Below are 22,691 nucleotides of genomic sequence, written 5' to 3'. Positions count from 1 at the left end.
GGGAAAACACAAATAATGGTGAGAACAAAGAAGTCTTTGCTTAGCTTTGACTTTCAAAGTAGACCAAAGGCAAAAAAAAAAAAAAAAAAAAAAAGAGTGCAGTAGAAACAATAATCTGGAAAGCAAGGTTTTCACTTGCAAGAGCCAGGCTATTTCGGAAAGGAAAGGAAAAAAAAAAAAAGATTTGTGATTCTGAGAAGCTAAGAAACTACTAAGGACTGAAGGGGTTCAGGTCATGCCACCCAAAAACATGCCACTTCGGCATAAGGATTATTTGAGCTGAAGGCAACTGAGAATCAACAGATGCAGGAAGTGTCCTCTGCTCTCCTCTCGTTTGCCTAAAAGTAGGGAACACATTTTCCTTGTGAAAGTATTGTCCTATAACAGAACTTAGGTCTGGCTATTCACAGTTTGAAAAGCCAGATACATGAGATGCCAAGTGTGGTGAAAGGAAAGCAGTTTTAATAAAATGCTAGCAGTTGAGGACATGTCCGGACTCGAGTCTCAAAATGATAACTCAAATTTTAAGGCTGACTGAAGGGGTTTATAAAAGGGAAACCTGGTGTGGGAAACACGCAGGAATCGTATAGAGTACAGGTCTGCATGTCTTGTTCCGATGGCTATCTTGAGTTACTGTCCACCTGGAGTACTAGCTGGTCCCATGTCGACTGTGACCAGGTTGTAGATTAACCACCTTGAGGTAATCTGCAGCTGGGTCTCCAGGCCTGGGCTGTTTCAAGATTAGCCCCTGGAATTTCTTTTCTTTTTTTTTTTTTTTTTGCCCTGTCCCCCAGGCTGGAGTGCAGTGGTGCGATCTCAGCTCGGCTCACTGCAAGATCTACCTCCCGGGTTCATGCCATTCTCCTGCCTCAGCCTCCAGAGCAGCTGGGACTACAGGCGCCCGCCACCACGCCCAGCTAATTTTTTTTTTTTTTTGTATTTTTAGTAGAGACAGGGTTTCACGGTGTTAGCCAGGATGGTCTTGATCTCCAGTGATCTGCCCACCTCGGCCTCCCAAAGTGCTAGGATTATAGGCGTGAGTCACCGCGCCCGGCCAGCCCCTGGAATTTCTAAGCAAGCATACAGTTAGATAAGCATGTATAAGTTGGTCATAAGGTCATGGTATAAGGCAGTGTCCAGGGGGAAGGAGAGAAAAAAAAAGGAAAAAAACCTTTTAAATACACTTTAAGGCTAGTGGGAAGGCTTTAAAATACATTTTAAAGCTGACACTCTTGGTTACAACTCCCCACTGTCAAGTTCCATTTCATTTCTATGGAAAGGGGGTGATGTGCTCCATCTAGGTACTTCCTGCTGAAACGGGGTGCAGTTAAGGTGCAGTGGAATGGAACCTCACCACTTGGAGTGGAAAATATTTGTGAGTCCATGGGCTTAAGGAAGAGATCTGCTAGAGCATCATGGTGAGTGTGTAACTGCAATAGAGTCTACAGCAGCAGAATAAACCTAGCCCTATAATCATGGCTAAAATTATGAGCAACTTTTTTTCACCAAGAGGGGCCTGATCCAAACCATGAGGAGAGCCACTGACTTAGGACATTGTGGGATAAGACATAGCATTAATTTGCTTATGCATGTCTCATAGGGCTGAGGATTTGTTTCCAGAATTATCTAGGATGTACACATACCACTCAGTCTTAATTATAGTGCACATTCTCCCCTATCAATCGTGCTTGGAGGTCCTGTGGGAATATGACAACATGTTGGCTGAACTTACATATTTAACAGGTTGCAGGAGGGGCTAGGAATATTCATGAAGGTGGTCCTGACCCATGTGCATTCAACAAATATGCATGTAACATATGACCCATGTTATTTTGTGGTGGAGACTTAATATTTAAACGTATTACAATTAGGTCCTATACATTAAAAGGTCTTTTCAGGGCAGAAAGGCACGCAAGTGTGCAATTTCTGTAAACCAGCTAGAACTAGCCCATAGTCCGTGGTCTTCTATCAGGTGAAAATTATTAAAGTCAGTCTCGTGTTAATTAAATCTGTAGTTATGGCTGATGGAACAGGGGCTGGGGGCCAGTGAGTTTGAGGCCAGTGCTTGTCTAACTGTTAGGGAAAAAGAAAACCCTTGTAGCAGCTAGAACACAGCTTACTATTTTTTTTTTTTTTTTTTTTTTGAGACGGAGCCTTGCTCTGTCACCCAGGCTGGAGTGCAGTGGCGCGATCTCGGGTCACTGCAAGCTCCGCTTCCTGGGTTCATGCCATTCTCCTGCCTCAGCCTCCAGAGTAGCTGGGACTACAGGCGCCCGCCACCACACCCGGCTTTTTGTATTTTTTTTTTTTTGTAGAGACGGGGTTTCACTGTGTTAGCCAAGATGATCTCGATCTCCTGACCTCGTGATCCACCGGCCTCGGCCTCCCAAAGTGCTGGGATTACAGGCGTGAGCCACCGCACCCGGCCAGCTTACTCTTTAAGTGTAGGCATGTATCACTTAACCCCTGCCTGCATGGTCTTAGGTCCTGTTTATAATTTGGTATTTTGTTGTTACAAGAGTCGGTTTTGTCGGTCTTATAATCTCTATTTTAATGTTAGTGGTGGTCACTTGTGCCTAAATTCCAAAGGGCGGGGGGTGGGCACAATGAGGTGTGTCCAATGCCCACTTCCTGCCATACCCTGATAGATTTTCAGGGTTTTGGGGATCCCGTTTGGCCAAGAGCGGGTCCATTCAGTCTGTCGGGAGGCTTAGGATTTTATTTTTTTAGTTCATATTCCTTTTATGGTCAACATATGCCAGAGGCACTATCGATATAAACAAGTCAATTTTGTAACCTGGTTTTTTGGCTTTTGGTTTTGGTCTCTTATGTTGCTTAATTAAAGGAGTTTTCTGAGCGCCTGCCCACCTCCATTCCCATTTGGCCTAAAACATTGAATTGGCTGTAAGTCTTCTGACTCTAAATCCCTTGGCCATAGGGGTCCCACTGAGGAACGTGATGGACCCAGGGCAGCCAGCCACACCACCCCTGGCATCGATATGGGACAAAAGAAAAGCTTGGCCATCGATAATGCCTCTGGGGTTTAGGGAGCTTCTAAGTCGGTGAACACATCCACGTGCTAGAAGGATGGTACATCCCAACTCCAAAGGGATAAAGCCTGCACTCAGGACCCTTCTAGACCTCCCCCTATGTATCGCTTGTTCATTTGTATCCTTTAGAATAAACTACTAGTAAGTGTAGCATTTTCCTGGGTTCTATGAGTCATTCTAGTAAATTATCAAGTCTGAGGAAGTATTGGGAGAATGCCTGACTAATCTGGGGGCCTAATACTTGCAACTGGCATCAGAAATGAGGGCAATCTTGTAGGACTGAGCCCTTGAATCTGTGGAATCTGATCCTAATTCTGGGTAGTTAGTGTCAGAATTGTAGGACACATAGTTGATGTCAGAGAGTTAGAGAAGTGTTGTTGGAAAAGATACCATTTATTTGGTGTCAGGAGGGAAAAAAGCTCTCAGGCCCCTGCCAAACTTTAACACTGTTACTTCTAATTGCACCTTACTCGCATCACATTGCAATTCTATTAGTCTGTTACTAGAACATGACCTGCACTCTTGATTTTCACGTGACACCCCCTATTCTATCACAAACACAACTAATTACTTCATGGACAACATTACTTGTGATGAAAAGCCTTCCCAGATTCTTATAAGAATTTATCTTTCTCTCATACTTTAATGTATCTTTAATAATGGCACTTTCACAGTCTATTTTGTGTTAGTGGGGGCAAGAAATGCACAAAGAACTAAAAAACTTTTTATCATATGAGGGACATTCTACAAAATACCTGACCACTTTTCCTCAAAACTGTCAAGATCATCATGTCCAGACAATCAAAAACGAGGAAATTCTAAGAAACTAGTACAGCCAAGAGGAGCCTAAGAACACACAATGACTAAACATAATGTAGTATCCTGGCTGGATGCCTGGAACAGGACACCAGGTTCAAACCAAGGAACTCTGAATAAAATACAGATAAACAAAAACCCATTGTGGATAATATAAATAAACAGGAAAAACAACTGTTCTTGAACAATCTAAAAACTTACCAGAATTAATTTACATACAAATCATTAGAAGTATGGCCAGTAAAACCACTATTTGACTACATTTTGTTAGCTCTTCAATTTATATATATTTACATATATACTATATATATATACATATATACTACATATATATTTACATATATACTACATATATAATTTTTTTTTGAGACGGAGTCTTGCTCTGTCACCCAGGCTGCAGTGCAGTGGCACGGTCTCGGCTCACTGCAACCTCTGCCTCCCGGGTTCAAGCGATTCTCCTGCCTCAGCCTCCCGAGTAGCTGGGACTACAGGCACCCGCCACCACGCCTGGCTAATTTTTTGTATTTTTAGTAGAGACAGGGTTTCACGTGTTAGCCAGGATGGTCTTGATTTCCTGACCTCGTGATCCACCCGCCTCGGCCTCCCGAAGTGCTGGGATTATAGGCATGAGCCACCGTGCCTGGCCTACTTTATATATTTAAAAGGAATAAAGCAGCATGTCTTTAAAGATAAGATTTTGAGTAATTTGGTAAGGATTACCCTATTTTTTCTCCTAAATTAGTAAAAAGTATGTATGTGTTCAAGGAATGAATAGTATTATGGGGTGGGTGCAGTGGCTCATGCCTGTAATCCCAGCACTTTGAGAGGCCAGGGCGTTTGAGCCGAGTTGAGATCAGACTGGGCAACACAGTGAGACCCCATCTCTACTAATATACAAAAAATTAGCCAGGCACGGTGGCGGGCACCTGTAGTCCCAGCTACTCAGGAGGCTGAGGCAGGAGAACCGCTTGAACCCAGGAGGCAGAGGTTGCAGTGAGCTGAGAACGCGCCACTGCACTCCAGCCTGGGCAACAGAGTGAGACTCTGGTTCACAAAAAAAAAAAAAAGAAAGAAAGAAAAAAAAAATTAGCCGGGCATGGTGGCATACTCCTGTAGTCCCAGTTATGTGGGAGTCTGAGGTGGGAGGATCACTTGAGTTCAGGTCAAGTCTTCAACAGATGAGTAAAACTGCCTTGAGTTTATCTTTTTTTACACTCAAAGGTGACTTTCTTTGTAAGTAAGTTCCAGAAGATCAAGATATTCTGAAATGCAGGAATCAGGTATCATTTTTGTTGGTCTTAGAAGAAACTAGAAGTTACAAGTTTATCTGTAACTCAACTTTTTTACAGATGGACCCCTGTAGTGACTGACAGCTACAGTCCTCAGGGTCCGGGGAACTCAATGCTGCCTGCCCACCTATGCATACACCCCAGCCAGCATTCCCAGAGATGGGTCAGTGCCCTGGACCTCAATAGAGGTGCCTGGGTTTCCTGGGGGTCTGCACAGTCTCTGTGAGAGAAGAGCTGTGATGAATTCTCCAGGGTAAGCCTGAAGACCAGGGGTTCTCAATGTATAGCTGTAGGATTGCTTAATAGCTGGTGTTTATGAATGCCTGGAATGTGACTGCTTACCTTTCAACTCTTTCACATATGGGTAAACTGAGGTTCAGAGAGGTCCAGAATGCTGCTAAGGTTAACTATATAAAGAGTGGAGAAGCTGGAGTTTGCATTCCAATCTGTTAACCTTCAACAACCCTACTCCTTCTGCTTGGCTAGTGTTTCTAAAGTGTGCAGATGAGGTATACAAAATTGATTTTAAGTTTTAGTTTGGCAAGTTTAAAAATAAGAATTCTTATGTTTAACTTGAATTAGACAAAGACCCCAGTTGGCACATGAGACCTGCAATTCTGTAGATATCATTGCTTAACATATATAGTGTGTATATTAAAAAAAAAAAAGTCAATTTGTGAAAATATTAAGGTGATACGTGAACACAGCCCTCCTGAATAAATCTAATTTTGGAGTGCAGGGTCCTCCCTATCATTCTGCTTAAATTGACTACGGCTTCTGATCCTGGCCTGCCAACTCTATATTTATTTAGCGCCCAGTTCTCCAACCAACCCCTGTATTACTGAGACTGAATTATGAAATAGTAAATATTCACACTGCAGTTTTGTGAAAAAAGCATGCTTAGTTGCCAAATACTTTGTCCATTTAGTCTGAGTTCTGTTAGTCTCTCAGGTTCCTCTAAAAAACATATACATTTTTAAAATTAACCAATAGTCAGAATTATTAACCAATAATCAGAATTTGTAGGTATTTCCTTTAAGGTGTACAAAGTCAAATGAGAGTACATATGTCTGCTTTTCAAACTAGGGTACACATAAGGGGCAAGTGTTAACCAAGATTACCATGATGTGTCTTTCTAGAGGAACTATTACAATATCTCAAGGAGGTTAAGATTTTTGTATTGCAATGAAATGCGGAATGAGAATGCATAATTTATATTACGATTAATGATACAACATGAGACTAAACCAGTTCAGTGTCATGACTGAACAAAGTTTAAGTTTGTGTTAGCAAAAAGCAATGTGAAAATGCAAAGCAGTGTTCAAATGTAAGTCATTACCCTTATCAAGTTTTAGAATCCTTGGTCTCCAGGAAGCCAAATAGCCTCAGGACTTATCTTGCAGGGTTGTATTTCCTCAAGGCTATCAGGTAGGTGAAACAGTGTAAACTGAGGAAAGTGTTTTAATAATGATGTATGAATTATCCAAAGAAAGTATATTCTGAGAGGTCTTCTGAAAAAGCTATTCTAGAATCCAGAGGCTCAGCTGAAGACACTGATGATAATCCTCACGAAAGAAAATAATCAGATGTGGGCTCTAAATTCCCCTCAAACCAAATGACAAGCTCCCTATATATAGCTGGGCCTAATTACTATAACCACTGTCTCCCATGACATTTCTTTTGCTTTTTCTACTTATCCCGTATTACTTTAGTTAGATAAAATATTCCAGGTGTCTTGCTTATTGCTATATTATCCACTGTAAAGGTATTTTATTATTATGCCAATATTAAGATTTTCTTCTATGAATAAAGCCAACATCTTTTTATTAGCAAAGTGCTAACAGAACTGGACCAAAGAAATTACAATTCCATTCTCATTTCCTGTTATAACTCCACCTAAGATATCTTAAATGCCTGCATACATCACAAAGCCTACCAGGGGGTGGTAAGTGATTTTTCAATTAGAGTAACCCTTCAGTTTTCAATGAAAGAAATCATTATTGCATTTCTGCTGAAACTAATTACTTGTATCTTTTTTTCTTTCTTTTCTTTCTGAGGCGGAGTTTCAGGCTGGAGTGCAGTGGCGTGATCACAGCTCACTGCAACCTCTGCCTCCTGGGTTCAAGTGATTCTTCTGCCTCAGCCTCCTGAGTAGCTGGCATTACAGGCGCATGCCACCATGCCCCGCTAATTTTTTCTGTTTTTAGTAGAGACGGGGTTTCACCATGTTGGCCAGACTGGTCTTGAACTCCTGACCTCAAGTGATCCACCTGCCTTGGCCTCCCAAAGTGCTGGGATTACAGGCGTGAGCCACCGCGCCTGGCCACTTGTATCTCTTTTATCTCACTTCCTTGGAAGGGTTTTCCAAATGCAGCAACCCTACTTTGAGTAACACATTGGATCTGTTTAGCATACTACTGAAACTCAATATCCACAATGGGAGTAACAGCTAACATTCAATGTTATTCTGTGCCAGGCCCTATTATAAGCCCCTATTATTTAAAATCCATATGTCAACTCGTTTACACCTCACAAAACTCTGAGGCAGGTATTACTTGTATTTAACAGATGCGGGGGTTAAGTAATTTGCCGATGGTCACACAGCAGCTGCACTCCTCTACTGCCTCTCTTCGTGTTCTACTTTATGTTAGTCTACTGTTCATCTGCTGGTTCCACAAATTAGATGTATGCTTATATTCTCAGTATTGGTTTTCACAAAAAATGCTGTATGAAAGCAAATGACATACATACTTTGTAAGCTTTCAAATGTTACATAAACGTCAAATAGCTTATTAAAGAGAAATACTACTGGCATCTATAAAGAACCCAAAAGACAGATGATAAAATGTAACGCTTACCTCTTCTAACTGCAATGGTTTGGGAACTGAAATCTATTTTCCTGGAACAGGAATGGGATTCTTTCCACAACTATTTAGGAACACTCCCTCTTATCAGATGGAAAAAAAAAAATGAAGTGCAAATCCTTTTTCTGGGACATTTAAATCATACTTCTCTTCCTTTACTATTCTCAAGAGATGGTTGATCTGAATTGCTAATTGCCCAAATACTGCTAGTACAGAAATGCAATATTTAAGGCTTTAGACTATTTTCCTTCAGTTCTCTGCAGTCGCAGTGAAATACTTCAAGCGCAATTTTTGCTGAACTCTTCTTTTCAGCAGTGGAAAAGCTGCGGAAATGGAAACTTACCCCCAACATATTTCAATTTGGAAGTTCAACTTCAAAGAAAAATCATAAAAATGTAAGTTTTATTGAGTGCCTATAGTGTGCATGGGCCTTTATTAGACACGCCAAATTCAGGCACAACAGACACAAGATCCCTGGCCTCAGGTACCTTATGATCTAATTAATAGATATTAGAAACAGTAGAAAGACAAGTTACACGTCAATGCCCAATGACTAGAGTCAACATTAAAGAGTTGTAATTTAAGTAATCCAAACTGACATCTAATTCCAAAATCATTTATAAAATGTATTTGGCTTTGGAATCCACAGGACTTCAAACAAGCAAAGTTTCACTGCAGATAGTCACAAAGATGCAGATACACTGAAATACTTAAGAGCCTTATTAATGATTTTTGTTATTTTGGATCTTCTGTTTTTTTCTTATTATGGTCCGAAGCCTCCTTAATACCAATTTATCAGACAGAAGCATGTCATCTTGTTGTTCAAGATAATCCAGTAAATTTTCAGTCCATTCAAGTGCCGCTTTATGGCTAATATGCTTCTCTGGATTCAGTTCTGTTTTTCTACTCTTACTGGAAGGCTTTTGCTCAGCAGCCTTGGTCTGGTCCTCAGCACTTTCACTGTCAGTCAGCACCTGACAGCTTGAGTCACTGCTCCGAGAGTCGAACCACTGATCAATATTCTCAATGTCAACATGTTCACATTCTTCTGTGTTCTGTAAAACTGTTGCTAAATTAGCTGCTAAAATGGCTCCTTCATCAATGTTCATACCTGAATTCTCTTCATTGCCAGGGAAAAGTTTTTTCCATGCTTTGGTTATGGTACTTGATTTTACCATGTTCCAAGCTCTTGACACTTCATAAATTGCATCCAACACTGTCAAGTTCTTCCAAAATATTTTTGGGTCATTTCCTTCATCCATGTATTTCTGGAGAAGTCCTGCTCGATAGTATCTTTTTACAGTGGCTAGAACTCCCTGGCTCATTGGTTGAATCAGACTTGTGACATTTGGTGGCAAATACTTCACAATTATTCTGCCATCATCTGAACTCAACATTTCTTCATTTGGACGTGCTGGGGGGAAATCTAAAAGAAGCACTGCTTTTTCTAAAAGTCCCTTGGATTTCAAATGCTTCTGTACCTGTGGCACAAAGTACTTTTCAAACCACTGTCTGAAAACAGACTGTTCTATCCATGCACCTTTTTGACTGTAATATGTCACAGGAAGGTTTGAAAGGTCAGTGCCTTTGAATGCTCGGGGCTTTTTGGCCTTCCCCACAACACAAAGATTAAGTTTGTGTAAACCTGTGGCATTTGCGCAACACATAATGATGATTCTCTCTCTGCTTGACCTACACCCAGAAGTACTTTGGTCAGTTTCAAGAGTTAATGTCCTTGATGGTAGACATTTCCAAAACAATCCAGTTTGATCAGCACCATAAATTTGCTCTGGTTGTAGATTCTCTTTTTCAACAAATTCCTGAAAGCTACCACAAAATTCTCTGGCAGCAGTTTCATCTCCTTTTAATTTTGTTCCTTTACCAGCAGCCTTTGGAATACCATGGCGCTGCTTAAATCGAGTTAGCCAGCCTGACGATGCATTAAAATCACCTTCCATTCCCAAAGCATCAAAAAAGAACTTGGCTTGTTTTGCACAAATCGTTCCGGACACTGGAATCCCATCTGTTTTCTGTTGGTTAAACCACTCTATCATAACTCTATCAAGCTCCTCGTATGTTGATGACTTCATAGATTTACGTTTGGATACTCCACTGGTAGGATCTGAACTGTTTGCATAGTTTATAATCCTTTCTTTGTTCTTTTTAATATCACGAACTGTGGATTCACCAATTCCGTACACCACGGAAAGTTTTTTGAAAGAGATGCCTTCCTCAAGTTTCTTAATAATGTCAAGCTTGTCCTTAATTGTCAACACCACACGCTTACGTTTCCCCAACATTTTAAGTGTCTAATATTTTAGGTGATTACTAGAACAAGATAATTAACAACTAAGATTTGAATACAAAGCAACTAGAAAATGAGTTCGTAAGATTCCTCCTCTCACTTCTAGGGCCTAGATGGATAGTGACCAATTTCCTGACAAGGTCTACGTGAATCTACTTGCTATTTTAAAACTTACAAACTTCCTACAACAAAGCCTAGCGCCAATTAACTCTTATCTTCTATCTTTCTTCCTCCTCAGGGTTCAGGGTCTTTCATGAAGTGCAATCACACTAGAGGCTAGAAACTGTACTGGTAAGGCTTCTAAAACAGTACTATTGCATACTCAATTCTTGCCATCCTTGCAGGTAATGTTCTTTGCCAGAATAGCCACTAAATCTCAGGTGGAAGTATTTTAGGAAATGTGCTAGGGAGTAAACAGTTTAAGTCAAGAGAGGACTTGCAAACTTGACATACAGGAAAATACAATGGGAAAACTCACCCTCTGACTATGTGGTCTTTGTCAAGCAGTGGATTGTATGGAATGCTGTCTCTCTAGGCACGGACTCTGCTATAGGTTGCGCAAGTGAGTGCTTGTGGAAATCATACGCAAGAGAAGATGACCCGGACAGAAGTGAACAGTGCAAATAAGGTGAAAGTGGAACAGGCAGAAAACTCTACTTTAAAAGCGACTTAAACCTACTAGATTTGGCAGCTGGAAAGGAGGATAGTGGACATGTGATGTCACATTACTAAAGAAAGCATCAAAAAAACTGCATCGGTGGAAATGAGGACCCAAGGTAGAGGCTATGGGGTGGCAGGCTCGGTGAAGATGATGTTACAATAATCCTGGTGAAAGACGATCCTCGATGGACCAACAGAAGCAGTTCCTGTGGGGGCTGTAGAGATACTCGGAGGCTCCGAAACCTAAAGGAAAATACCAAAAACATTTTCTTTCAATTCAACATCAGGATCTGTGGCATTATCCACATTTATCCTGCAACTATGTTGAGAAAATTAACGCCTCCTATCAATGTGATAGCTAAATACGACAAATAATGCTTTCAGGCATAATCTGGGGTGACAGAGAGAGGGACCTGAAGAGCCTACCTCCTGAAATTAAGAGGTCAGGGAGAAGCCGTGTTAGCGAGGGCCTCTCCCCGCTGGGCGAGCTTCAGAGCGCGGGACGTCTTTCCTCCCGCGGAGGGAGCCCGGATTCCGCCTGGACGCCGGCGACCAGGATGTCACTGCTGCAGCCAGCCAGCCAGCGGGCGGCCGCTTGGCACAGGGAACGCCAGTCCGCCGGCCCCGGGCATCGCCCTGGGACCGCCTGCGCGGCGCCCAGACCACACTAAGCGCAAATGGAGTCTCCTGAGGCAGGCTGGCACTGGTGGCCCGGCAGCGGCGAGGGACGAGCGGAGAGGGACGAGCGTCGCCGCCGGAGCCGGAAGGCGGGGGATTAGAGAGCACGCGCGCGCCCCCGCAGAACGTTGTGCCGGCGAGGGGGCGGGGCCTGCGCGGGTGAGCGCACGCGGCCCGGGGGAGGGGACTCCGGCGAGCGGGCGGGAGGGGCGGGGGCCCGGCAGGGGTGCGTCTCTAGGCGCTGCGTGGGTTCCACTCACCGCCTGGCCGTTTCGGGGCCGCAGTGCCTCCCTGGCCGGCAGGGGGAGGCACACGCTCGCCTTGTCCTGGCGCTTTTCCCAGTGGCCCGGCTCTGCCGACGAGGCTCTTTTCTCCCTAGGGGGAAATTTTAAAATCTCACCCCCCCAGTGCTGGGGGGAAAGCGGAGGATCCTCGCGTGCCGGGAGCGGGCTGCGAATGGGGCAGGGCGAGCGCACGTGGGGCGTGTTTACAAACAGCAGCCGCGCCGCCTTGCGGAGGCGGTCCAGGTGTCGGAGCCCAGAGTCAGCGCGCGTGGAAAGTGCTAGCCCGAGCGAGGATCATGAGGCACGGTAGGAGCCGGCGGACGTGGGTTCCGGGCAGGAGCTGGGGCGTTCGCTCGGCAACACCCAGCCGGACAAGCCCAGGGTGCCGAGGCGCGGCGGGCTGCGGTAGAGCCGAGTGTCGGGTCAGCGCTCCCCGGTGCTGATGCTCCGAAACTCGTCACAGTCGCTGTAGAGACGGACCCTTTGCAAAATCGACAGCACCTGGGAGACCCTTGAGCCAGTGGGAGGCGTCGTGGTAAATTTCCTGCCGTGCCTCGACGCCCGGGGCTTCTCAAGTGGAATCGGGGAATTGCGCTTTGACTGATACTCCCTTTATTTGTTTCCAACGGAGACATCTGCGGAAGGGTCACCGCCTTCCTGGAGGAGAGAGTGGTGCACCTCCACCTTGCACCACCTGTTTCCTGGGAAACGCGGTCAGGCTGCCTTCCTTTCCGTCTTGTGTGTGCGTGTCAGTTTGAAAAATTGGAAATTCTTCAGTGAATTATCTCTTCCATATGAACATAAATGTAACCTTTTCGTTAACACAAAGTAACATAGTAATTCGTCATTTCTTTGACAAGGCCATATACTGTTTCTGGAATTTCAGAAACTTGGAGATGGAAATCAAAGCGAGCATACTGTAGAAAACAGATGTTGATTCTAAGCCTTCTGTTTGACTCCGCCGCCAAAACTGCTCAATTGCCTTTCTCAACATAGCAGCCTTCCACTATCTGGCATGACAGAAATTCTTTGATCTAGTTATGTTGTGAGGTTGTAAGTGGCTTTTGGAGAATACCTGCTTTTAGACCTCCCCTCTTCCCTGCCTTCCATTTGGCTTCCAACAAGCCAGTCCCTTTCTGGAAGTCCTGGTTGCCTGTTTTGGGTACATTATAACTTACTTCATGGTAGTTTTATATAACTTTACAAAATATTCTTATTTTCCCTGATACCTGTGAAGAGCGTGAAAGACTGCTAGAACAGCACTTTACCGACTGCCACCCATGTGGAAATGAGGCAGCCTGTAACCAGATGTCAGCCGCCTGCCTTTCCGCCTCTCCCCCGAGTCTGCTGGAGTAGCTGTGTCCCAGGATATTTAAATACAAAGGAATCCTGCCTCTTACTCTTCCTCTCTTTTCCACAGTATCTCTAGGATTTAATTTTCTTCCAGATACCATTTGCATTTTTCTCTGTTCCTCCTGGATTCTCCAGTTTGCTGTTTTATGTCTTATAGCTGTTCCCTTTTTATCACCTTGTGTAAGTTCAAATCTGGATACAGCCCACATTTCTAGATTTTCTCAAAACACCGCTTGACTCAAGGCAATTGTATTTAGTAGACTTTTACTAAGATTTTACTCAAGGCAATTGTGTCTTTACACAAAACAGTTTTATTGGGCAAACTTTCTCCTTTTGTTGGGGGAAGGGGTGGCTAGTTGTGGCAGACATATTACAGCACAAGGGGGAGAGGACTTAGAATGTTAAGAATATGTATATATACACACATATATATATAATAAGAATATATGTATGTGTATGTATGTGTATTTTTGAGACAGGGCTTCTCTCTGTTGCCCAGGCTAGAGTGCAGTGGTACGACCATGGCTTGGGCTCACTGCAGCCTCAACCACCTAGGCTCAAGCAGTCCTTCTGCCTCAGCCTCCCGAGTAGCTGAGACTGTAGGCTACAGGTGCGTGCCATCATGCCCAGGTAATTTTTGTATTTTTTGTAGAGATGAGGTCTTGCTATGTTGCCAGAGCTGATCTCAAACCCCTGGGCTCAAGTCATCCTCCCACCTTAGCCTTCCAAAGTGCTGGGATTACAGGCATGTGCCATCCTGCCTGGCCAATAATAGATTCTTAAGGTGGTGAAACTACTCTGTACAACTGTAATGGTGGGCACATGTCATTAAACATTTGTTCAGATGCACGGAATGTACAACACCAAGAGTGAACCCTAATGGAAACTATGGACTCTGTGATAAAAATGTTTCAAGGCAGGTTCATCAATTGTAACTGATGTTCCACTCTGGTGGGCAATATTGATAATAGGGAGGTTATGGATGTGTGGGGGCAGGGAGTATGTGGGAAATCTCCCTATCTTCTGTGGAATTTTAGAACCTAAAACCATTCTAAAAAATAAAGCCTATTTCTTAAAAATGTAGGTTCAAAAAAAAATGAGAATGTTGGGTGCCTAAGGCAAAGTTGCCTTACTCTTTCTCATGTACTATATGCTCAACACAGCACACACCAAGCAGTTCTCCACTGGACACAGCTGGGTATCCTATAATTCATTTCAATTCTGATACCATCTGCCTGGAGTGTCCCCCCAACTTCAAATTCCAATTCCAAGTAGTAGGTTGTTGTCAGGTTCCAAGCCCAGCTGGGGTCTGAGGGGAGTTGGTGGACGGGTGGTGGGTAGTTGAAAGGACACTTGGGGGACCATAAGCAGTTGAGATACAGCTTTATTCTCTCTCTCTCTCTCTCTCTCTCTCTCTCTCTCTCTCTCTCTCTCTCTCTCTGTGTCAGCCTTTGTTTTGGCCACCTGCTCCAACTGCGGCCTCTCAGCGCTGGCTCCACCGCTCCTGCCACCCCCACGCCTGTAGCTGAGTTCCCCATTGTGCTTGCCGCTTCCTGACTCCCCTCCCAGCCACCTGCAAGGTGGCCCAGCTCTCTCTTACAGAGTCAGCAGTCCAGTTATATTGCTCACAGACAATAGTGGCTCAAAGCCAGTTGATGAGCCCACCCATAATGTGGTTACATAACTGTGATTATGTAATGCACAGGATTGTGCACCTGCGCTCCAGTCCCACTGTGTCATGCAGCACTAGATGTTTGCCTCCGCCAACTCTTGTCTGCAGTGCAGCTATTTCCCTTACACTCCATCCCCTAGGCCAAGGGAGTCCTCTTAGTGGAGAAATGTGTCCATAGGGCAGCACCCTGGACCTATAGGCCACAGCAGCAGTACATATGTGCCCTGGAGGAGGATTCCTTCCTTGGCCATTCCCCTACAAATGGTCAATCACAGAGGCTGTATTAGTCTGTTTTCATGCTGCTGATAAAGACATACCCGAGACTGGGAAGAAAAAGAGGTTTAATTGGACTTACGGTTCCACATGGCTGGTGAAGCCTCAGAATCATGGTAGGAGGTGAAAGGCACTTCTTACATAGGTGGCAGCAAGAGAAAATGGGGAAGAAGCAAAAGCAGAAACCCCTGATAAGCCCATCTCATGAGACTTACTCACTATTATGAGAATAGCACAGGAAAGACTGGCCCCCATGATACAATTACCTCTCCTTGGGTTCCTCCCACAACACATGGGAATTCTGAGAGATACAATTCAAGTTGAGATTTGGGTGGGGACACAGCCAAACCATATCAGAGGCCATACATTAAATTCCCAAGCCCTCCCTCCAGGGGGCTACGATGGCCATCCATCTGCAATGGGTGGCTTGGAGGGTCCATGGCCAAAACCAGGTTTTTGTTCCCCTACCTTTAGGGACATTGAGGCAGGCAACAACAAATTACCACTTGTCACCATAACTGGTTGGAGGAGGTCATCCTTTCTCCCATAGGTCTTGCCACATGGCCCCGCCCCAAATGGTCCGGTGACCAGCTAGCCAATTCTGTAACTTCCAGGTAGTTAACCACAAGGTTAAGCCTTAATAAACTGCTCAGCTATCAGTGCAGATTATCATAGGTGTCACCTTTTTGGTGATCACCATTCACATTGTCCTGAGTTTGGCCCACTGACTACTTTGTCTACACCCGGTATCAAACCATATGGTGTCAGTACTAAGCTGAACCGCACACAACAGTGGTCCAGGCAGCAGTAGCACCCCAGTTGGGTCCATCCATATATCATGCCCCATGGGGGATGGGGTGGGGTGCCCCTCTTTAAACAGTGATGGCTCAGGGTTTAGGGGTACCTCAGGCTGACCCATAGCCCTATATTGCATCAGGAACACAGGTCCCAAGACTTCTTGCAGTTCTGCTAATAAGGGGCTTGTACTCAGAGGACTCCGCTGTTCTAAGTAGACACCCCACTTTGCTAAAGTGGATGTCTGTGCCATCCCAGTCCCGGGAGTCATTACCCATGAACATATCCACCCCACTATTGGGTAAGTCATCTGCATGATGACTGTAGTCCGTCCCATCACACTCTCATAAGCCTGAAGGGCGGCATATGCAGCTGCTAACTGCTTCTCTATCAACGAATACTGGAGCTCAGCTCCCTTCCAAAGTTGGAACCAAAAGCCTCCTGGCATTCTAAAGCAGTCCATGTGCTGACATAGGCCCCAGCCAGAATCATCTGTGGTCACATGCACATCAAGTTCAAATGGGCACCCCTGGTTAATCACTTCTAGGGCCTACACTTGCTGCTGAATAGCCTGCTTGGCTGCCAGAAAGGCTGTCTCAACCTCCTTATCCCAATCCCGGGTAGCCCCCTTTTTTGTCAACCGGTACAACAGTTTTATCATCTGAGCCAAATGGGGCACAAATGCCCACCAGTACCCCAGGAGGCCCATAAAAGTCTGCAGCTGCCTTACAGTGGTGGGCCAGGGATATGCCTGGATTTTGTCTATGACGGCCTCTGATATGGCTTTCGTCTTACCCAACCAGATAGGTAACTCTTAAGAATTGGCAGTCAATCCAGGCCCTGGGATCTGGGATTCATTGACGGCCCAACCGCATGCTGCCAACTGTTGCAAGAGAGGTGCTGCCACTTCTAAATCTGCAAGAGAATCAGAGGTTAGCATAATATCATCTATATAATGGAATAGGGGACTCTCTTTGGACATTTCTAGGTGATTAAATCTGTGACAACGAGGCCATGACATATCGGTGGGGCTACACACATAGTCCTGGAGCAACACCGTGAGAGTCCATTGTCATCCTTCCCATGTGAAGGTGAACTGTTCCTGGCTCTCTAGAGCAATGTCAATTGAGAAGAATGCATTGGCCAAGTCCACCACATAGTGGTACTGTCCCAATTCCATCGTCAAGTGGTCCATCAAATCCGTGATAGATGGCACAGCTGCCAAGCAGTGTAAAATATCCACCCCCAGAATATATTCAGGTATGGGAGAGACGTACACAGTATAAACAGGGAGCCAAGTGGCCAATACCAAGGTGCAAAGGTACAGGTTTCACTTTCACTGACTAGCCTCCATAGCCATTTATGTATGCAGCTTTACCCGGAAACTTATCCGGGCTCCCATAGACAAGACTACAATCTGTGCCAATGTCTACCAGCACCAGCACCTGCTATACATTGGTGGGGGACCAGTGGATTGCTAATTCCACATGTGGCCTCTGGTCATCTGGTGTCCCCCCAAGCCGGGTATCTCAGCCAGCTCCCTAATCAAACACAAAAGGCTCTATACCTCTGCCTGTCTGTAAGTAGTCCTTGAGCCAGAGCATCTATCTGGGTGGGCATTTCCGGAATTGCTGCTTTGGGGTCAATTGCCTCCACGAAGTTACCAGCACTTCCCAGGTCGGTAGGGGCTCCCCCAGATGGTGCCAACACTGTTTGCCTAACTCCCACAAATCACTGGGGGTATAGGCACTATATGAAGCATGCTCCACCATGGTAGGGGATTCCTGGGTCTGCTTTTTGGGCCCAAGTGGCTATTCATGCTCTATTTTCTGGTGGACCATAGGGTTAGCCCGCAGTAGGGGTTCTTCCCCCTCAGTATCAGACCAAGCGGGAATGTCCAGCTGGGAGGGTGGGCTCAAGCTGTCACTTATGGCAGTTCCCACTTCTTATTCCAAACTGTGTATCTGGCCCTCCAGGCGCTTGGCTTGCATCTGAAGGTCCCTTACCTGTGCTGCATCCTGCAGGGAGTGGGCATGCACTGACCATAGTGCAGTCAAAAATGCCCATCTGACTCTGCTGGCAAAGGCATGCTCCTTCTCGGTGCTGTGTGCTTCCAGGTGTTTCAGTACCTTCTCTGTGCTCACAGGGGACCCGTCCACTGCTGCCCATGTTTCTACTGGAGCCCATCCTAGCAGCACAGCCACATAGCCAACCCAGGATCACTGGGGGCTGAGGACACACTCACCTCGGAATCCTGCTGACTACACCAATTGTCAGGTTCCAGCCTGAGCTGGGGTCTGAGGGGAGTTGATGGATGGGTGGCGGGTAGTTGGAAAAACACTCGGGGCACTGTAGGCAGTTGGGATATGGCTTTATTCTCTCTCTCTATCAGCCTTTGTCTCAGCCACCCCCATACCTGTAGCTGTGCCATAGCCCTTCTCAGCGCTGGCTTTGCAGCTCCTGCCACCCACATGCCTGTAGCTGTGCTCCCCAGTGCACTTGCCACTTCCTGGCTCCCCTCCTGGCCACCTGCAAGGTAGCCCAGCTCTCTCTTACAGAGTTAGCAGTGCGGTTATATTACAGAAAATGGTGGCTCAACGCCAGGTGATGAGCCCACCCATAACATGGTTACATAACTGTGATTATATACTGCACGGGATTGTGTGCCTGTGCTCCAGTCCCACTGTGTCATGCAGCACCAAATGTTTACCTCAGCCTACCCTTGACTCCAGTGCAGCCACTTCCCTTACAGTTGCCACCTATACTTGTGAAGGACTAGCTGTAAGTTGCGATTCCCATGGTGCCCCTCCTTGTGTTCCATTAATTTGCTAGGGCAGCTCCTCACTGAACTCAAGGAAACATTTTCTTGCATTTGCTTGTTTATTATAAGGGATAAAACTCAGGACCAGCCAAATGGAAAAGATGTATAGGGGCAAGATATGGCAGGGTGGGAGGCACGGAGCTTCCATGCCGTCTCTGGGCTTGCCACCTTCTCAGCACTGGATGTACTCAACCTGGAAGCTCATCAGATTTGTTGTTCAAGTGTTTTTATAGAGCTTCATCTCCAGCCCAGTCCCCTTCCCAGATGCCAGTGAGTGGGGCTGAAAGTTCCAGCCTTCTAATCATTTGGTCTTTCTGCTGACCAGCCTCATGCTGAGGTTATCTAGGGGCCTCACCCTAAGTCACTGTATTAGCATAAACTCAGGTACCATCAAAAGAGGGTTGGTATAAATGTCAAAAGACACTCCTAACATTCAGGAAATCCCAAGGGTTTTAGGAGCTCTGTGGCAGGATCTGGGGAAAAAACCAAATATATTTCATATTATACCACAGCATTATTGTTTTATTAAGAGCCCAGTTGGCCACAGGGAACTTCCTATTGTCAGTTCTTCTCTTTGGGTCACAGCATCCTTCCATCTTGCTATGCCATTCTTTTCTTTCTTCCCCCAACATTTTTCTATCTCAGGGTCCCCTCTCTTCTCTTTTTTTCCTTCTCACCTGCTTGTGAACGCTCAAGATTTTTTTCACTTCATTATGCAGAGCAATTTTGTATTCTTTTATCTCTTTTCTAACTTCACTTACCATTCACTGTGGTTTATCTCTAATGAAAAGTCATTTCAGTCATTGGGGAAGTTCTGTCACCCATATGTCTCTTTTTTCTACATATGTGCAACTCTCTTAATCCTTGTAACAGTACTATGAGGTAGATGTTACCTATGTTTTATGTACAAGAAAGTAAAGGCTAGGCTGGGTGCAGTGGCTCACACCTGTAATCCCAGCACTTTGGGAGGCCAAGGCAGTCAGATTGCCTGAGCTTAGGAGTTTGCGACCAGCATGGGCAACACGGTGAAATCCCGTCTTTACTAAAATACAAAAAATCAGCTGGGAGTGGTGGCGTGTGCCTGTAATCTCAGCTACTCAGGAGGCTGAGGCAGGAGAATTGCTTGGACCCGGGAGCCGAGCTCCTGCACTGCTCTCTAGCCTGGGCAATAGAGTGAGACTCTATCTCAAAAAAAAAAAAAAAAAAAGAAAAGAAAAGAAAGGCTCAAATGTGGGTAGCAGAACAGGGATTTGAGCCCAGTTACATTTGGGTTTAAAGCTCCATGCTCTGCCCATGCTATCACAATAGAAGTATTTATGTCAAAGACATGAAAAGAAGAAAAGTATACTGTAATTATTTATTCTTGCAAAATTAAAGTTATTTATTAAAATAGAATATTTAACATGAACTAATAAAAATGGCTTTCTACTCATGAAAGCACTGCAAGTCTGCAATAGTGTTCATTTGCTTCATTGGAATGAGAGTTTTCTGAAAACTATCCCAAATCACCTGAAATTAGATTGTTTCTTATCATTACAAGCCCTAAATTTTCTGCTCTGCTGAGATAATACAGACATACAAATACCTTACATGGACTTTGAATTATTAGTAGTATTCCTTATGCAAGATAGCTTTGTTATAGAATAGGATATCTCTAGGTAGATTTACATTCTTAGTTTTTAAGGGACTCTTTTTTGTTTTTGGTTTCCATTTACTTTATAATTGATTCTCATTCACTTGAAGATTTTTGTTTTATGATACCTAATAAGCTTAAGATGAGGACATGGGCCAGACGTGGTGGCTCATGCCTGTAATCCCAGCACTTTGGGAGGCCAAGGCGGGCAGATCACTTGAGCTCAGGAATATCAGACTGGTCTGGGCAACAAGAGGTGAAGCCCCGCCTCTACAAAAAATACAAAAATTAGCCAGGTGTGGTAGTACATGCTTGTAGTCGAGCTGCTGGGGGGTGCTGAGGTGGGAGGATTGCTTGAGCCCAGGAAGTCTAGGCTGCAGTGAGCCGTGTTCATGCCACCATATTCCAGGCTGGGTGACAAAGTGACACCCTGCCTCAAAAAAAAAAAAAAAAAAAAAAACATGAATTTTTTTTTATCACAATGCTATTATTCTATGTGTAATAAACTTATTTAATATAGAATAGTATTTGCCTTTAGTAACTTAATTATTTAGTGCCAATAATAAATCAGTGGTTTGCACAAAAACCATTTACTGTCACCTACCTTAAGGGACATAAAATATTGAGGGGAATTTTCCAGATAAAATATAATTTATTCCTCTTTTGAAGTATGCAGGGGGATATGGGTCTGTTAGGGCAGTGGTCCCCAACCTTTTTGGCACCAAGGACTGGTTTCATGGAGGACAAACTTTCCACAATGGAGGAGGTGGCGGATGCTTTCAAGATGAAACTGTTCCACCTTAGATCATCAGGCATTAGATTCTCGTAAGGAGCATACAACTAGATCCCTCGCATGCGCAGTTCACAATAGGGTTCGAGCTTCTGTGAGAATCTAATGCTGCTGCTCATATGAAAGGAGGTGGAGCTCAGGCCATAATACTTGCCCATCTGCCACTCACCTCCTGCTGTGCGGCCCAGTTCCTGACAGGCCACCAACCGGACCACACTGGTCTGTAGCCTGGGTGTTGGGGAACCCCATGTTAGGGAAAACAGGATGTGAAACGGTTCTCATCAGTAAAATGAAAGCTTTTCCTTTGACATCTCTTTCAGCTCAAACATTATTTTACTTCATATTATAGACGAACCTTAATTAGAAAATATATATAAAAAATATAAATAGAAAAAGATATCCTTTTGCATAAAGGTAGGGACACTTCTCCACTTGAAAGTGTCTAGACACAAGTGAAAGTTCTGATTACTCACTGGAAAATCCCAGATCATTTTTAAGAAGTTGGTAAGTTACAATACTGAAAGATAGTGAGTTCTGAGACTCTTGAGTCATGTAGATGCCCAGTGGGGAACTTTTAAACTTTGTTTTGTTTTCTTTGTTTCTTGGTTGGCTGGTGGATGGTAGGTTTTCAGATGGCTGGGAGCATAGGCAAAGGTAAGAGAATGAGTTCCCAGGAGGGTAGAAAAGATTTAGTGGGGTTTAAAAAAGAAGTGAAAATTATTGGTGGCGATGCTTAAAGAAAAGTTAGACTCGTTTCCTGAAAATCACTTAGATGTAAATTGAAGAAACCAGTGAATTGGCTGATTGGTATGAGAAATATGAGTAGGAAATGTGAATGAAAATTATATACCCTGCTTACCTTTCCAAGCCTGCCCAATTTCCAACATTCTTTAGAGGAGCCCTCAATTCTGTCCCAGGTTGGTAAGGTCAGGTTAACTGAGAGCCCATTGTGCGTCACACCACTCATTCTCCCTCTCCTCAGCACATGCAGCTTCATAATTTTGAGCTTTTCATGCTTCCCCTTTAGTCTGGGAAGCTTTCTTCTTCCTCTGTACATCCGTACGTCCTTCCAAGTCCTACTTTGTCCCCAAAGCCACATTTATCAAGGTTGCTCTTCAAACCCTGTGGGTTGGAATCACCTGGAGTCCAATATATAGATTTCCTGGGCTCACACTGGGGATGAAGCCCAGGAATCTTTATTTTCAGTGATCATCCCGTGTGATTCTATTACACCAAAGTTTGAAAACCTTTTATGGTTAACAACTGTTTGAATATAAAATTCCTCCCTTATAACATATTCTTTTGGAAGGGAGTTTTTCTTCCTCCTCTTTTTTCTTCTTATTAAATTGTACACAGTCTTTGAAGAACAAGATAAGATACAGAGAAGCAAAAAGGAAAATAATAATGC

At 44.4% G+C, this 22,691-nt stretch overlaps 1 protein-coding gene across 2 annotated transcripts, besides 5 other annotated features; it reads right to left on the bottom strand.

The window, feature by feature from the left end:
* Positions 1-8,392: 8,392 nt before the first annotated feature.
* TIGD2 (tigger transposable element derived 2) lies at positions 8,393-12,125 on the bottom strand. 2 transcript variants are annotated; one of them, NM_001382380.1, is made up of 2 exons: positions 11,923-12,125; positions 8,393-11,227 (listed from the first exon to the last, which is right to left on the bottom strand). In NM_001382380.1, the coding sequence occupies exon 2, from the start codon at positions 10,317-10,319 to the stop codon at positions 8,742-8,744; it is 1,578 nt and encodes a 525-aa protein (NP_001369309.1). In that variant the 5' UTR covers positions 10,320-11,227; positions 11,923-12,125; the 3' UTR covers positions 8,393-8,741. The 2 variants fall into 2 exon arrangements, with proteins under 2 accessions (NP_001369309.1, NP_663761.1); NM_145715.3 differs by lacking the exon at positions 11,923-12,125 and adding an exon at positions 11,411-11,761.
* Positions 11,504-11,953: a silencer, noted in NCBI's record as "silent region_15567". NCBI's record gives its function as "represses an Ori minimal core promoter by ATAC-STARR-seq in GM12878 lymphoblastoid cells {active_cell/tissue: GM12878}" and the evidence as "EXISTENCE:reporter gene assay evidence [ECO:0000049][PMID:35858748]".
* Positions 12,034-12,113: an enhancer, noted in NCBI's record as "active region_21722". NCBI's record gives its function as "activates an Ori minimal core promoter by ATAC-STARR-seq in GM12878 lymphoblastoid cells {active_cell/tissue: GM12878}" and the evidence as "EXISTENCE:reporter gene assay evidence [ECO:0000049][PMID:35858748]".
* Positions 12,144-12,253: an enhancer, noted in NCBI's record as "active region_21721". NCBI's record gives its function as "activates an Ori minimal core promoter by ATAC-STARR-seq in GM12878 lymphoblastoid cells {active_cell/tissue: GM12878}" and the evidence as "EXISTENCE:reporter gene assay evidence [ECO:0000049][PMID:35858748]".
* Positions 21,523-21,672: an enhancer, noted in NCBI's record as "active region_21720". NCBI's record gives its function as "activates an Ori minimal core promoter by ATAC-STARR-seq in GM12878 lymphoblastoid cells {active_cell/tissue: GM12878}" and the evidence as "EXISTENCE:reporter gene assay evidence [ECO:0000049][PMID:35858748]".
* Positions 21,783-22,022: an enhancer, noted in NCBI's record as "active region_21719". NCBI's record gives its function as "activates an Ori minimal core promoter by ATAC-STARR-seq in GM12878 lymphoblastoid cells {active_cell/tissue: GM12878}" and the evidence as "EXISTENCE:reporter gene assay evidence [ECO:0000049][PMID:35858748]".

The sequence above is a fragment of the Homo sapiens genome, chromosome 4, assembly GCF_000001405.40.
Source record: "Homo sapiens chromosome 4, GRCh38.p14 Primary Assembly".
Lineage (NCBI taxonomy): Eukaryota > Metazoa > Chordata > Mammalia > Primates > Hominidae > Homo > Homo sapiens.
The sequence above is the reverse complement of the archived record's forward strand: the minus strand, read 5'-3'. Positions and strand labels throughout refer to the sequence as shown.